Consider the following 15,088-nt stretch of genomic DNA (forward strand, 5'->3'; position numbering starts at 1 on the left):
GCAAGGTTCCCTTCGCCCCGGCGCCTCTATCCTGCCATCCCAGGGGGCCAATTGCGCCACAGCCCGCCACCCAGCCACCCACAGCCACCGCGTCCTATCTCCCGGCACACACAACCCAACAGACTCGCATTACATCTCCACCGCCAGCGTCGCCTCCGCGCCCCGGCCGCTGCCATCCGGCTCCCCAGCTTCGCCGCCCCGCAGCCCCGGCTCCCCGCCTCTGGCCTCACCGCGCGGCTCAGAGCTGCCTCGCTCGGCTCGCCGCACCAAGGCCGGCCAGAGACGCCGCCACCGCCGGGAAGCGCCGGCAACTCCCGAGTCACGCCGCCTCCCGAGACGCGGCGGGGCGCAGGGAGGGGACAGCAGTGGGGGCGGGGCGGGGAGGAGGAAGGAGGAGGGGGCGGGGAGCAAAAGTTCACACCGCTCGGGGCTCAGCCGCTCCCCTATCTCTTCCCAGGCCCGCCCCCGCCATCCCCCTTCCCTGAACCGGGTCCCACGGGCTTAGGCGCGGGAGAGCTCTGGCCTCCCCGCCCGGAACCGCCGCAAGGCTAGAGCCAGGGTTCTGGAAGCGCATCCGAGCTCGCAACCGGGGAGAGAGTGGCGGATGCCCACTTACCTGCCCCGGGCCGCGCCTGGAAACTTCCCCAAAGTGCGATAGGGGTGTGGGGGCGGAGCGCAAGGCTGGGGGGAATCCCCGTCCCCTACCGCCAAACGACGCGCGCTCACACCGTGAAAGCACTGGTCTGTCCGTCGGTCGGTCCCCCGCCTGCGGCTCCCAGAGCTGGGCGGTGCAGGGGCGCCCCGATTCCGACTACTGGGCTCCTTCTCCCGGACAGCCCGCCGGTGCGTTCCACGCGGCTTGCGCCCCCCGCCGGCCTCCGGCTATCCACGGCGCCACCACGCCACTGCTCGGTCCCCTGTCCCCTCGCTCCGGCCGCGTCCTCTCTGCGAGGGAGGGGGCGTGTGTCGCCGCTGGGTAACCCTTCCCGCGGGGTCCTCAAGCGCGCAGGGCGCCCGGAGCGCGGCCAGGACCAATGGCGAAGGGACTCCTCCCGCTGGGGATCGCTGAAGCCTCGGGGAGGCCGGGCCAAGGAGCCCGGGGCCCAAACCTGCCTCGGCTCGTCGAGCTCGCAAGTTCATTGTCTGCCTGGGCCGCCGCCGCCACCGCCACCGCCACCACCGCGCCGGGAGCGCCGCGGGGAGTGAGGCTGCGCGCCGCCTCCGCCGGCCCGGACTCCCTACGCCCAGCCCCGGCCGCCGCCGGCGCTGCCTGGCCCGAACCCGCGGAGGGGCGCCGGAGCCCCGAGCCCAGGGCCAGACCTCCTACCGCCGCTCCTCGCCGACCCCACCTCGGCGTCTGGCACCTAACTTGTACCTGAGAAGCCTGAGTCCAGCCCGGGAGCCTCTGCGGCTCCGGCTCCGCGGGAGCGCGCCCAGCCCCGAGCCTCTAGCCCCGCATCCAGGGCGCGTCAACCTGACTCCCCGAGCGCTGGGAGGAAAAGTTTGGGAGTGACGTGCAGACGGCGAATGAAACATCCGAGGAGAACCCTCCCCCCGCCCCATGTCGCGCTGACACACATCAGCTCCAGTCTGGAATGTGAGATCAAGGCGTGTGCGCCGAGCGGTGGGTTTGGCCCCTGCCCCCTCCCCCTCCGAGTCAACACTGCTTGTGTGTTGCGGTGATTCCAAATAAAAGCACATCGAAACCCCTGAAATCTGGCAGTGACACCTTGCCAGATACTTCTTTTTTTTAAAGACAGAGTTTCGCTCTTGTTGCCCAGGCTGGAATGCAATGGCGCGATCTCGGCTCACTGCAACTTCCGCCTCCCGGGTTCAAGAGAGTCTCCTGCCTCAGCCTCCCGGGTTCAAGAGAGTCTCCTGCCTCAGCCTCCCGAGTAGCCGGGATTACAGGCATGCGCCACCACGCAAAATAGGCTAATTTTATATTTTTAGTACAGACGGGGTTTCTCCATGTTGGTCAGGCTGGTCTCGAACTCCCGACCTCAGATGATCCGTCCGCCCCCCCAACCCAAAGTGCTGGGATTACAGGCGTAAGCCACCGCGCCCGGCCGCCAGAGACATCTTTAAGGAACTTGGCGGTCTGGAGCCAGCCCGTACATTAATATTCAAGGCCACAGCGCTGGTGAGTTCGGCGCCCTCTGTTGTATTTTTGCATCCCGGGAAGGCTGGCCCGGCTCTTTGGCCCGGCGTGTTTTGCTTCCGCGGGGGAGGTAAAGCTCTGCAGGACCCCGATCGCCACGGCCTGCCGCAGTGGCCTGGAGTCGGCTGCCCCAGGGAACCACCTGGACAGCCCGAGGGCAAGAAAGCGGCACCAGTGGCCGACTCCACTGACTCTGGGCTGAAGATGCCATCAGTTAAAGAAAAGACACATGAAATTCTGGCAGATTCGCTCAGAGGGCGCTTGGAGCACCAAGCCCAGCCTCTCAGGAAACTGAGGTCCAAGGGACAAAAAGAATCTGCAGTCTCTTGCCGGCCTGTGTCCCCGTGGCCAGAGTCCAGCACCCTCTTCCTCGAAGCAACCAGAAGTGGAAATGAAAGTGCTCCGTTAACTGTAGACTACATGCCACCGAAGGGTCATTCCTGACAGTGGCTTCTCCCCATTATCTCTTTATTGCCGGAGGCTTCATCTCGCCCCCCTGAAGCTACAGTCCACCCTGAGGTCATAAACTTCTGCTCAGCACCCATGGCAACTAATGCAGAGGTCACCATCAGAGGATTATAACTGCAGATGGGAAACCGGGATGAGAGGGGAGTTCTTTAAAATCCTGTCTTGTTTTCCTGCAAATAATGCCTCTTACATAAAATCTGCGAAGAAAGATGAATGCAGCAAAGAGACTTGCCTTAGAATCTCAGACTAGATTGCTTTTTCCATATAGACTCCACTTAGTGATTTTTGTTCTTTATTTTTTTTTTAAACAAAAACCTATTTCTGAAAATACAACGAGCTGCTTTTTGCAGGGTTCACAATTCCCAATAGATGATGATGCCATTTTTCAAGGTCTCACACACGTTGTGGCTTTGGGGCTTATTTATTAGCTCCCAAGAAAAGCCTGCCTTTCAGTGAGGTTTATATACTCGAGTAATTGCATCAGGGGACACAGAGCAGGTTGCTGTTAAAGAGGGTTGGTTGTACATGCGTCTGCAAGGAAGGCCCTGGGCCAGGCAGCTGTCAGACCAGTGTGCAACGGGTTTAAACAAACACAGGGAAGGGTCTGTGGAAACAGCAAGGAGGAAATCCCCTTCTGTAAGGGTGTGTGGAACATTATTCCAGGGCCACACATACTGCCAGGGAATAATGCCTTTCCTCTCCTCCCTCCAAGTAAACACATAACTCCGTTATGGAGATGGCGCTGGGCCCACCCAGATCACTTTCAAATTCAGGTGTCAGAAACCACGGTTGACATGGAGCAAAATTGTTTTTAAGTAAAAATCACGGTGCCGCTTTGATATGAATTCCACCAGGGACTTTCCAAAGGTATTTATACACGTGCCTGAGATTAACTAGAAGGTGATTTTTTTCCTTTCAACCTTAATTTCAAAAAATTACCCAAGAATTGCACTTGAGCCTGTTACTGCAGAGAATTGAAAGAACACCCAAATGCCAGGTCCCTGTGGATGGGTGGAAGGATAGACAAATAAATGTGTAACTGCAAGAGAGGTTGATACCAACATGGTATTAGCAAGTCACGGCTGAAAAAAATGCAGATACCGGCCAAGCACGGTAGCTCACGCCTGTAATCACAACACTTTGGGAGGCCGAGGCGGGTGGATCACTTAAGGTCAGGAGTTCGAGACAAGCCTGGCCAACATGGTGAAACCCCGTCTCCACTAAAAATACAAAAATTAGCTAGGCGTGGTGGCGCAAGCCCGTAGATTCCCGGGAGGCAGAGGTTGCCGTGAGCCGAGATCACACCACTGCACCCCAGCCTGGGTGACAGAGTGAGACACCCTCTCAAAAAAAGAAAAAAGAAAAAAAAATGCAGATACTTTCAGAAAATAAATCCCCGCTTCCCGTGTGTGCACTCTAGGCCCCCACAACTGTGGATTTAAATTGCCTGGGTTCAAATTCTACTTCTGCCACCCACTAGCTGAGCAACCCTGGGCAAGTCACTTCTTTCCATGCCTCAGTTTGAGGCTTCTGGTAGCACCTACGAGCAGTCAATTGAGCTGTTGATCCCAACTCCTCACTCTCCCGTGGTGGTTATCACACGTCTGCATCCTTGTCACAGCCTTCCAGTGCAGGGACTGTACTTCCCCATTCCTTGACTTTGGACTTGCTTTAGACAATGAGATAATGGGGAATATAACTGGATCAGAGGCTTGGAATGTGCTTGCAGGGCCAGACCTGCTTTCCTCTGCTCTGGTGGTCCACCATGAGACGAACATGTTGCTGCCTCTTCCAGAGAGGCTTCAGAATGAACACACAAGGAAGAAACCTGAACTTGATTCGCTGTCTGGAGCCATGTCACTCCACATACAGCAGGACTCAGAGCTGCTTTAGGCAACCTACAGAACATGAGCAAGGCAGGGAAAATGCTTATTGTTGCAAGCCACTGAATGTTGCAAAGTGTTTTGTTACACAGCATTGTTGTGGCTGTAGCTGGCTGATACATGGCCTCAGTGGGCTAGTGTCAAGACTGAAGACAAAGTATTTTAAAAATACTCAGCACAATTCCTAGGACACAGTAAGAGTTGAAAATAGTAGTTCTTATTAGTAATCATTATTATTGCAAGTAGTTTTACCCATGATAGTCACATAATTGAATGTTTGTTAACATGCAATTACGTAATGAGGTTGAATCCATGAATAAGTATAACTTGAATAAAGATTCTGTAAGAGATGCTACAAGGACACCAGCAACCTGGAATGTCAGGGACTTGCCACAATCCTTAAAATCACATTCACTCACTCACTCATTCATTCATTCATTCAGCAGACACTCTCTGAACACCTGCTGTGTGCCACTCACAGGGCTGAATGTGGGAACCACTAAGGTCACTAAGACTCAGCCCCCTCCTGAAGAAAGGGACCTTCAAAGTCCCACCTTGTGACAAGCACTGTGCTAAGCACTTTCCCATGCCTATGAGGCCAGTATTACTTATCCCTATTTTTCAGGCCGGGAGACTGAGGCTTACAAACCAAACACTCAAAGACAAAAGGCCATGCCTATTCCATGAGTGTGCACCAGTGCCCATGAATTCAAATTCATAGTGGGCAGACCCATTAGGGAAGCGCTGTGGGGCAGGGCAAAGAACGGACACACCTTGTCACTCTCTGCCTCCTGCATGCTAGGAGGGGCTCAGTAAACACTGAGGCTCAGGAGCCCCAGGTCCTGCTCCTGCCACTGAAAAGGGCTGCACCTGGGTGTGAGGGAGCCCTTGGGGTCATTGCGGAGGACTTCAAATTCATTTTGGCAGCCTTGGCTTCAGATTTCTGCCACCTCTGCCACCAGTAACGACCTGCCTCCCACTCTGTGACTTTGACAAATTTAGACTGCTCAATAACCTGAAGTGCATTTCAATTTCATAAATTTAGCAATGCTCTGGTTAGGCGGCTCCCTTCTGCAGTAATGCATCCATTAAGTGCACTTTAAGCCCATTTTGGTATGCTAATCCATCACAAATCCACGTGAAATTTGGGTTCTTGTGAAAATTTCCTACACCCCATCCAAAACCTCTACCGGATTTAGGACAATAACAACTAGTGGTTCCTTAGAACAGCAGACTTCGGCTCTGCATCAAACCTTCAGTGAAAAAAGGAATGGGGCTTGTTTTAAACCAATGTCCAGACTTGTATATTCACGAGCGCCGTCTGCTCTTACAGGGTCCCCCTGAGGGGCGGTTCGCTTGTTCCAAAAGTGCTGCTGCAGCTTTAAGATTTCAGAACTCTATTCCAGAGGAACGGAGTCCTGTATGTCTCTGCATGCCCCTCCCCTAGCTCAGAGCCTGTAAATGTTTACGAATGACCCAGTTGGAATCACCTGGCTTGATTAGCACTTACTCATCCGTCAGACTTCGTTAGCTTCATATGATTTTCACTATGTCCTGATGAAGACTGGGGATCCTAAAATACAGGCAGAAGCCTCCGAAGGAAAATCAGATGCAGACCCCCAGTGCCTCCAGGGATGACCACATCATCATAATGGTGCAACCTGTTTATCCTACAGCCTCTGAGGCCGGAAGGAATACGCAGCCAGTAATTGACAATACAAAGAACCTACAGGTGATAAAAGAGACATAATGTCATTGTTATCACCACGTAAGACTCTGTTGCTACCAACTGTTGAAGGACAGCACCTATTAAGTAGATGTTTTTAGCTGCATAATAGACATTTCGCCAATAAGATAAAGTTTACAGCTGGTAGCGTTCTCACTTACTTGCTTCTGTCATAAGATCTACAACCCATTCAACAGCAAAAATGAGCTGTTGACTTGGTAAATTTAGAGCAGCGTCGCCTGCCCTAGATGTGAAATACCTCAGCCTTCTAAATAAATTTCATCTTCCTGGTTGAGCATTTAATGCAGTGAAATGTTACAAAGCGGTGCTTAGGAGGATAATAGAAATGAACACCCACAGGCAGACGCGGCGAGCAGTGCATCACGACGGGCACTCCTCCCTAGCCCAGCTTTGCTGCCAGCTCCAACCCAGACCTGCTTCACCCCCACCACCCCGGGCTCTGTGAGTGTCCACTGTGCACCTTCTCAGGTGGCGCCTGTGGGAGAAGTCTCCATGACATCTTTACTGCTGCTCCTTTACCCCAGTTCAGTGAGCCACCGTCCTCTTCCCAAGCCTGGCTCATCTTGGAAGTACCCGGACAGTTTTCAAAATGCAGATGCCTAGGCCCCAGTACCAGAGATTCTATTACAGTGGGGTGGGGCCAGTCATCTGAATCAGAGTGTCTGGGGTGGCACCTGGGCACCTGTGGATTTAACAAGCTCCCTCAGCGCGCATTGACCTTTGAGAGCTGCTGGTTTGGACCGGTCTCGTGTATCCCTCGGTGCTGTCACAATAGCCTCTTCCTGCTACTTTCCCTGCCTCCTCTCCCGACATCTGCTAACTGGTTCTTTCTACTTACACAGCCTGGGTCTTCCCAAAACACAGATCTGATCCTGTCAGCCCCATGACTAAACACCTTTGATGCCCATCCTTAGCGCCTCCCCTGCACCAACAAGGTTAGCCAGGTCCGAGTCCACATTGCCAGGCTGTGCAGCTGTGGTCCTGCCTCTTCCCTGGGCCCGTCTCCCTCCCTGGCTCCTGGACACCCATCAGCTCCATCCACATGGCTTCCCAAAGTGGCTCAGGGGCAATAGACAGAGTGGTTCTGAAAAGATGAGTCCTGTGACAATGCCACCACAGAACACTGGTGTCTGCTTCCAGGGACTCCCTGCTCTTAGATGGGGGTTGGCTCTTAGGAGTTGCTTAGACAAAATTGAAGCCTGCTGTGGGTATGGCTGTGGGTGTGGGTGAGAGCTGGGGGCGGGGAGTGGTGTGAGCACCTGTTCAGGGGTGTGCCCCACCCCCACCAGACCCGTGCTAGGCTCACCTGAGCACTTGGGACATGGGCTGCAAGCACCCAGACTCCAGCTCTGACCTCAGCTCCACTCCTCCTTTGCTGTGACCCCCTCTGAGCCTCACATCCCTCCCCGTGACATGAAATGTGGAAGAGGATTCTCTTCTGGGACTGTCCCCTGTCAAGGGTCACCCAAAATCGGTATCACTCATTGTGAGAAGTGAACAGAAAGGGATTTCCTCCCTCTCTGAATCGACCTTCTGTTGCTGAGTAAGAAATTACCAGAACTTCATGACTTAAAGCAACATCCTTTTTTTTTTTAATCTCACAGCCTGTAGACCAGAATTCTGGTGGAGTCTCTGCTCTGGGTCTCACAAGAATGAAGGGAAGGTGTCGGTCAGGCTAGGCTCAAACCTACCGGTCCTGGGGAGGGATCCAAGTCTTAGCTGCTGATAAAACTAAGGTCCCCATTTCCTTGCTGGGTGCCAACATAGGTGCACTCTCTATGCTTAGAGGCCACCCCCATTCCTTCTATGTGGCCCTCTCCACCTTCCAAACAGCAACAGCATTTCAAGTCTTTCTCACTCTTCAAACCCCTCTGCCCTCCTTTTCTGCCAGCTTTTAAGGGCTCATGTGATTCCATTAAGCCCACCGAGGATAATTCGAAAATAACCCCCTCTGCTAAAGTCAACTGATTAGTAACCTTAATTACATTTGTAGAGTCTCGTTTCTTACGTAACCCAACATATTCACGAGCATGACACCAGGGCACAGGTAAAGGTGATGGGGGAAAAGGTCACAATTCTCCAGAGAAACAGAACCAATAAGGATGTATGTGTAAATGCACACATGTAGGTATTTGTGCACTATAAGAAACTGGCTCACATGATCATAAAAGCTAAGGAGTCCTGGCCCACAAGTCTCTGCCTGAGTCCGACTCTGAAGGCAGGAGGGGGCCGGCATCCCAGGTGAAAGACAGTGGGGCAGAGAGAGAGAGGACTCTTTCTTACTCAGCCCTATGTTCTATTAAGGCCCTTATTGAATTAGAGGAGACCCGCCCTCCCTGGGGAGGGCAGTCTGCTTTGCTCCGTCTACCAATGCAAATATTAATTTCATCCCAAAACACTCTGATGTGGTTTGGCTGTGTCCCTACACAAATCTCATCTTGAATTGTAGTTCCCATAATCCCCATGTGTTCTGGGAGGAACCTGGTGGGAGGTGATTGAATCACAGGGGCCGTTACCCTGGTACTGTTCTCATGATAGTGAGTGAGTTCTCATGAAATCTGATGGTTTTATAAGGGGCTTTCCCCAACCTTCACTCAGCATTTCTCCTTTTTGTCACCATGTGAAGAAGGGCATGTTTGCTTCCCCTTCCACCATGATTGTAAGTTTCCTGAGGCCTCCCCAGCCATGCTGAACTGTGAGTCCATTAAACCTTTTTTCTTTTTAGATTACCCAGTCTCTGGTAATGTCTTTATTAGCAGCGTGAGAATGGACTAATACATACCCCAACAGACAGGCCCAGAAAAAAATGTTTGACCAGATATCTGGGCACCCCATGGCCCAGCCAAGTTGACACAAAAATTAACCATCCCAGGGGTCATTTAAAATTCGGCCTACCTCACCCTTTGTGTTAGGAGTTCCAACCAGCTAGCTTGTCCCACTTCTTCAGGAAATATTTTCTGAGCAGGCTCCAGGGACATCACACATGAGCCTCCAGGACTCCCACCCACCCTTGGGAGGCCCACGGTCTGAAAGGCTACAGACAGGGAAGAACCAGGTGCCATGTGCACGTCAGGGCTGGGGCAGGTGGCTGCCCCCCATCAGGTGCAAGTTCTTGTGCACTCAGTGAGAAGCCAGCCCAGGCAAGTGTTCCCAGCCACATCACTCCAGGCCATGCTCAGGGATTTGCTTTACACAGGGACTCCCTGTGCAATGACTGACTCACCATGTTCTTTTGATATAGTCACACAGAAGCAGTTGACACTGAAATATACACAGGTGGAGTTCTATGGTGGCTGGGAGTTGCTTCAATAATGGGCTGTGGGATGAGCTGGGGGTGTCAAAAAATGAGACCAGCCAAGGTCATTGAGGCTGGCTGGTGGCATGCTGGCATTCATCCCTATTTCTGGTCTATATTTGGAAACATTCATTAAAAAAGGGTTTTAAAAATGCATTTTAAATGACAATTTTTGTCTTCATCACAAAGGAAAAACCACCATCATTTACCATAAAAAAAATCACAAAGTAAATACAATGAAAAGAAAACAAAGGTTACTCAACTCCAGCTAGGTACTAATGAGTCCTTTTTCCTTGTTAACAGGAATATGAGTGAGTGCCAGAGTTTAGGGCCCAGGGTCCAGCAGGCTTTCTCACAGGGATCAGTTTTTAAGAACATGCATCAGTTTTATTTTTATCTTTCTGATTTTAAGAAAGCTGATAACAAAATGCCCTTCTTAGTCTGTGGCCGTGCTGTCTTTAGTGCTAGATGTTTGCATCGCCTAGGATCCCCTGTGGTCTGGGTGAGCCCTGTCTGGGCACACTGCATGTGTGCAGGGGGAAGAGGAATGCAGGTGGGAGAGGGGCCAGAGGATGGAGAGAGCACCAGAAGCAGCCAGGGAGAAACTACTCCGGCAAGGGAAGCTTGGGCTCAGAGATGGCCTCTGAGGCCCCTCCTCCCACCTCAGGACTGGACCTTCTTCTCTGGGTCCCACTTGCAATCCCCCTGCCCTTAAGACTCAAGACCTGGAAGCACTGTTCATGCTCCCCACCCTCTGCCCCAAGCTTGCTCTGGGAAAGGGCCCAAGGGCCCTCCATACCCTGGTTCCAGCATCCAGTGAAAACCCTGCCCCTCCCGCCATCCCCAGGTCTAAGAGGGTACTACTTTGTTGTCTGCTAAGCCTCTTATGTCCTGAGCATTTGAGGAGGTTGAGGTGTCGTGTTCTGAGCCCAGACACAGCTCAGGGGCCTACACCTGTGGGCCACATCCCTGAAACCCTGAGGGAGGCCAGCTTCACAGCTGGTCCCTCCATCCAGAGTTGGGCTTTGGGCCTTCTGGTCCCTGGTGAAGCCAGCCCTCCTGGCCTCTTGGCCTCTCTGAGTCCAGGTCTCCAGCCCACCCCAGTCTCCAAGGACAGGGGCTGAGCAAGGATACAGCAAACTACTGGCTGTGCTGAAGCCACAGGGGAAGGATGGGAGTAGAAGCTGATCCCCCTCAAAGAGCACAGGGTCTAGGGGCAGTGAGTGTTCTTCTGACCTCACTGCAAGGGACAGGGCAAGAGAATGCTCATCCCACAGTGACCTTGTGCCCGGCACTATACTAGGGCATGCCTGTTAGCTCAGGCAAAGACACCGCAGCCTGCCACCTGCCCTGTTCTGGCTTCTCTTAGATAGTGTAGAGCATGGTTGGGCAGTCCTGACCTACCCAGGCGAGGGGGGCTGGGAAATGAATGAGAGGACCTGAGGTGGCCAACAGGGAACGGGTCTTCAGCACGGTGGAGCACACCAGCCCATCCAAGGAAGCAGCTATGTCTCAGCTCCCGCTGGATGGAGGACGGGAGTCTGAAATTTGAACATTATTGTGAAATAGCCCAATTTAAAAAATAAATCTTGGATGGGCAACTAAATCAGAAAAAATAATTGTACAACACAGTGAGAACCAATGCCATCAGATTGCAGGAGAGTCCCACAGGCCATCACTTTGCAACCTCTGGGGTGATAAACACCAGCGGCTGAGTCTGTGGCTCTGCACCAATGGCTTCCAGGTGCTCCAGCTAAGCTGAGCCTGCAAGGGTTTGAGTAGGACTGAGAGGACACTGCCCCGTCTACAAGCTCATGCAGTTGGCAAAATGCACACAGCTTTGCAGGAGTTGGGATGGGACTCATTGGCCCTTGAATCAGTGCCCTGTTCAGAGTACCATCCAACCCAGAAATGGGCCAGATGCTGTCTGAGAATCCCACCCCAGCAGACTAGAACCAAACTGGAACCCAGGGGTCTCCTCCAGGATCCTAAGGGCCACCTGTCACCTTGCTCCAGATTTGCATGTTTTTGCTCCAGCAGCATATGCCAACAAGGACTGCAAACATTTTCAGATGACAGTGTCACAATTACAATCCTTGGGGCGGTTTGCTATTTCCTGTTTTCTCCTTTTATTCCCAAGCCAGGCCAGGCTCTATCACGGGAGGGGGTAGAGGGGTGATGGAGCTGAGACTAGGACAAAACAGAGGTGGAGCAGGGCCTACAGATGGGGCACAACTCACAGTGGACACCACCTTTGATGGTGGACACCACCTTTGATGGTGTCCCTGCTGCCTGGGGCCACCTGCCTCTAAACATGGCATCACAATGACTTCTCGCTTTGGAACAGAGTTTGCAAAGGCTCCAAGGCTGGTGTTATATTGTCCCCTAATGTGGCCTTCAGGTCTCTCCTAGGAGAGCAGCTATAAGCTCTAGCCCTGCCCTGACAGCGCTGCAGGGGAGGTGGTTGTGTACCTTTCATGGGATGCTTCTTTGCCCTGGGGAACGGCTTGATTGAGGCCTAAGTGTCTGACCCATGACCAGGTGTCCCTGTCCTTTGTGCTGGCAGATGCCCTTGTGACTCTTGCCTGACTTGTGTCCAGTTTATTCCTACCAGGACAGCCACTCTCTAGGACAGCACTGAGCAAAAGGGAAGGTAGATTTGGGTGTGTCAGTCAAGTGAGACACAGAGGAGGTAACTCAGCAAAACACATGAAATAACAGAACCAGGTGTTATTACTTACAGGTCCCAGAGAGAAGAGGGCAGCATGCCTCAGGGCCAGCGGGCAGCAGGGAGCTGTCTGGGGCACACAGGCTCCACCAGCACGTCGGGAGCAGGGCCGGGGGGACCCATGGGCCAGAACCTTTACTGGGGTCCAGGGCCTTATCTAAGCAGGTTTCCCATGGGAGTTATAGCTGGTGGGTTTAGAGCAAGCAGGCACACGTTCCATGGGGTTGCTGTGGTAGAGAGGGGGTCGCTGCGGCATATCTGCTCAGTCCATGCAGTCTGGACGTCAGTGGGGTGAATCGAGTAGGCTGTACCCAGCTGTCCCATAGGTGGTGGGGGACATGGTCACCAGGAGGCCTGGTATAAGGCAGAGGTCTGGATCAAACACATTGAGGAACTGGGAGGAGCCAGAGAAGTGGAAACTGTCAGGTGGGTCCAAGCTCTACCTCTGGTCTGAGAAAGTTAAATTTATATTCAAAATGGATGCTGGGGCAACATAAAATTCTAAGAATTCAGTCCAGGTGGAGACTCTGATCAGGGGCTACCCCCTCACTATCCCCATGCCTCTGGGGATATCTGGCCTCTGGTTGGGCCCCGGGTGGTGGCAATTTTCCAGGAGGCAGGAGCCCAGCCTCTGAGAAGTGAAGGAGTGGAGAAGGACATCTCCTGGACCACAGAGGCCCCCAGGCACTGCACCATGTGTAGGGCTGGCTTCTGTCCTTCCAGAGTGGGAAGCCCCATTGTCTTTACCAAGATGAGGAGGCCGTGCCCAGTCGTCCTCCGAGCCAGGTACTTGTCTGCCTCCTGCAGGTGCCCAACAGGGGCTGTGTTGGAGTCGAAGCTGAAAGTCACCCTCTGGCCCCATCTGCTAATTATCTGCCTCCCCCAGGCTGGGCTTCTATAAGTCCTGGGAGTGGAGCACCAATCTCTTCCCAGCAGGGAGCACATCTGAACCAGCCTTCCAGCAGGCCTTCCCCATGCCTCCAAGGCACTCAGAACTCAGAAGCCGATTCCTTCAGGATCTGCCTCAAAAGCAGCCGAGGGGGGCTTCTCTCTCCCCACAGGAACCACTGAGGCTAACACCGTCATCCCACCTCTTGTCCTCAGGCCAAACAAAGTTGTTACTTCCCTGGCTGCGATCAGGGTCTACAGCTGCCTCCTCAGTAGGAGTGGCTGTAAAAACAATTATTTCTTCTTTCATCTCAGTCAGAAAACTAAGCCGATAGTTGAAGAGGCAAAGAATCAAATATTAATAGAAATGGCTGTGTAATTCTTATTTGGAATATTAATTATGTGAAGGGAAAGACAGACGAGTTCTTTTCTGTGAAGTCCTAGTGAAGGAGCTCTCCCCAGTCTCATCAAAAAGCCTAATACAAATAAACAAGGTCCCAAGGCTGAACAGGACCTGCCCCAGGCAAAGTGCTGCAGTAGCAACACACCAAAAATAATCATGCCGTAAGTATCTCTGTGCAAACGCACTTATATTCATGCAGTTCTTTGGGCCCTGGTACCTATCTCTTAAAGGTTCGTGTAGGAAATATTAATGCCCCATTTTATAAGTGAAACAATAAGCTCAGAAAGGGGAAACCTCTTACCCAGGGACTCACAGCCGATAAGTCATAACTGTATCAGGAAGGATTGAAATCCGAGTCCAGCGCTCTCCCTGCTAAAGCCCCTTAACTTCGAAAATCTTAATCTCACAGCATCCCTGGGTCTACACCTTATTCGAACCATTCTATAGAAAAGGAAACTTGTATTTGAGAGACAGCATTGCTTTTGACCCCTTCCCAAATCCCCCGTAGCATCCGTCCACCCACCCATTCCCCGCTGTAGCTTCCCAGCACCCTAGGAGCCTAACCCATGTTTCTCAGGATCAGAACCCATGGGGTTGGTGCATCCGTGTGTGTTTTGCAGTCCTCAGGCTTTCCAGCTCAGTATTTAAAAAATATCAACACACCAAAATCACAGAACACAAGGTTTCCGCACCTTGGCAAATTCCCTGCTGACTCAGCCAGGCTGGGAGGGAGCCAAGTGTGGTAACTTCTCCGGCCTTGTGTGAGAAATATTTATTGTTGAATAGTCCTCTGTTTAATAAAAGGCACTCAGGCCTCTCGGTGAGGCAGAGAGGCTCCAGCAAGCACGACTCTATTTCCCAAGCCTGCCACTTTCCACTGGGATTATTCAGGGGTAGCTTCATCCTCACTTGTCCAGTAGAGCTTGTGTTTTCCCTCTGCAGAGCACAGGGTGTGGCCATGATTTACCTAAGTCAGAACAGGTTTTTCGGTTTCCATTTTCACCCTATTTTGGTTTTGCTTAGCGAACTAGGCAAATGACTTAACTCCTCTGCACTTCTGTTTACCCATCTGTGAAATGGCTAGAATGTAATGTAGACGCTGCTTGATTTGTAAAGAGCTAGCCTCTGATTCACCTCCAGATAACCTGATTCTTCCCAGAAGTGAGAGGCGAGGGCTTGTGTTTGGGGCTGAGGGGGCTCCTTCCTGGAGGCTGAACGGGTGGGTCTGTGTTGACTTGAAAGGAGCGTTTGAAATAAATGCCAGAATGCAACAGAGAAAATGGCAAAGGACTTCAGGGCACAGGAAAACTACCTCCACTGTTCAATAATGCACGAAGCTTTTTATGATGCTTATGAGAACAGCTCCTGTCTGCAGAGGAGAGGCCGACAGAGCCAGTTTCAGAACAGAGTGTTCATAATATATTGGATTCCAAATCCCAACGACCAAAGACCAGGGGGGTTAATCATGTTTCAATTACCTCCACAATTGCAAAGCATGATATTTATGTGATGTGC

At 52.4% G+C, this 15,088-nt stretch overlaps 1 protein-coding gene across 19 annotated transcripts in view, besides 1 other annotated feature; it reads right to left on the reverse strand.

Moving 5' to 3' along the window:
• Positions 1-1,505, reverse strand: part of CHST15 (carbohydrate sulfotransferase 15) — an 85,931-nt gene extending 84,426 nt beyond the window's left edge. For 7 of the 19 annotated variants that reach the window (NM_001270764.2, XM_047425324.1, XM_047425327.1 and 4 more), the window contains exon 1: positions 1,376-1,505. The gene's annotated coding sequence lies outside the window, so the exon portion shown is untranslated. Of the gene's footprint in view, positions 1-133; positions 314-616; positions 1,235-1,375 lie in introns of those variants that run through there. The other 12 variants (NM_015892.5, XM_047425328.1, XM_017016320.2 and 9 more) reach the window with 6 other exon arrangements.
• Positions 14,454-14,723: an enhancer, noted in NCBI's record as "active region_4163". NCBI's record gives its function as "activates an Ori minimal core promoter by ATAC-STARR-seq in GM12878 lymphoblastoid cells {active_cell/tissue: GM12878}" and the evidence as "EXISTENCE:reporter gene assay evidence [ECO:0000049][PMID:35858748]".

Source organism: Homo sapiens, chromosome 10, assembly GCF_000001405.40.
Source record: "Homo sapiens chromosome 10, GRCh38.p14 Primary Assembly".
NCBI lineage: Eukaryota > Metazoa > Chordata > Mammalia > Primates > Hominidae > Homo > Homo sapiens.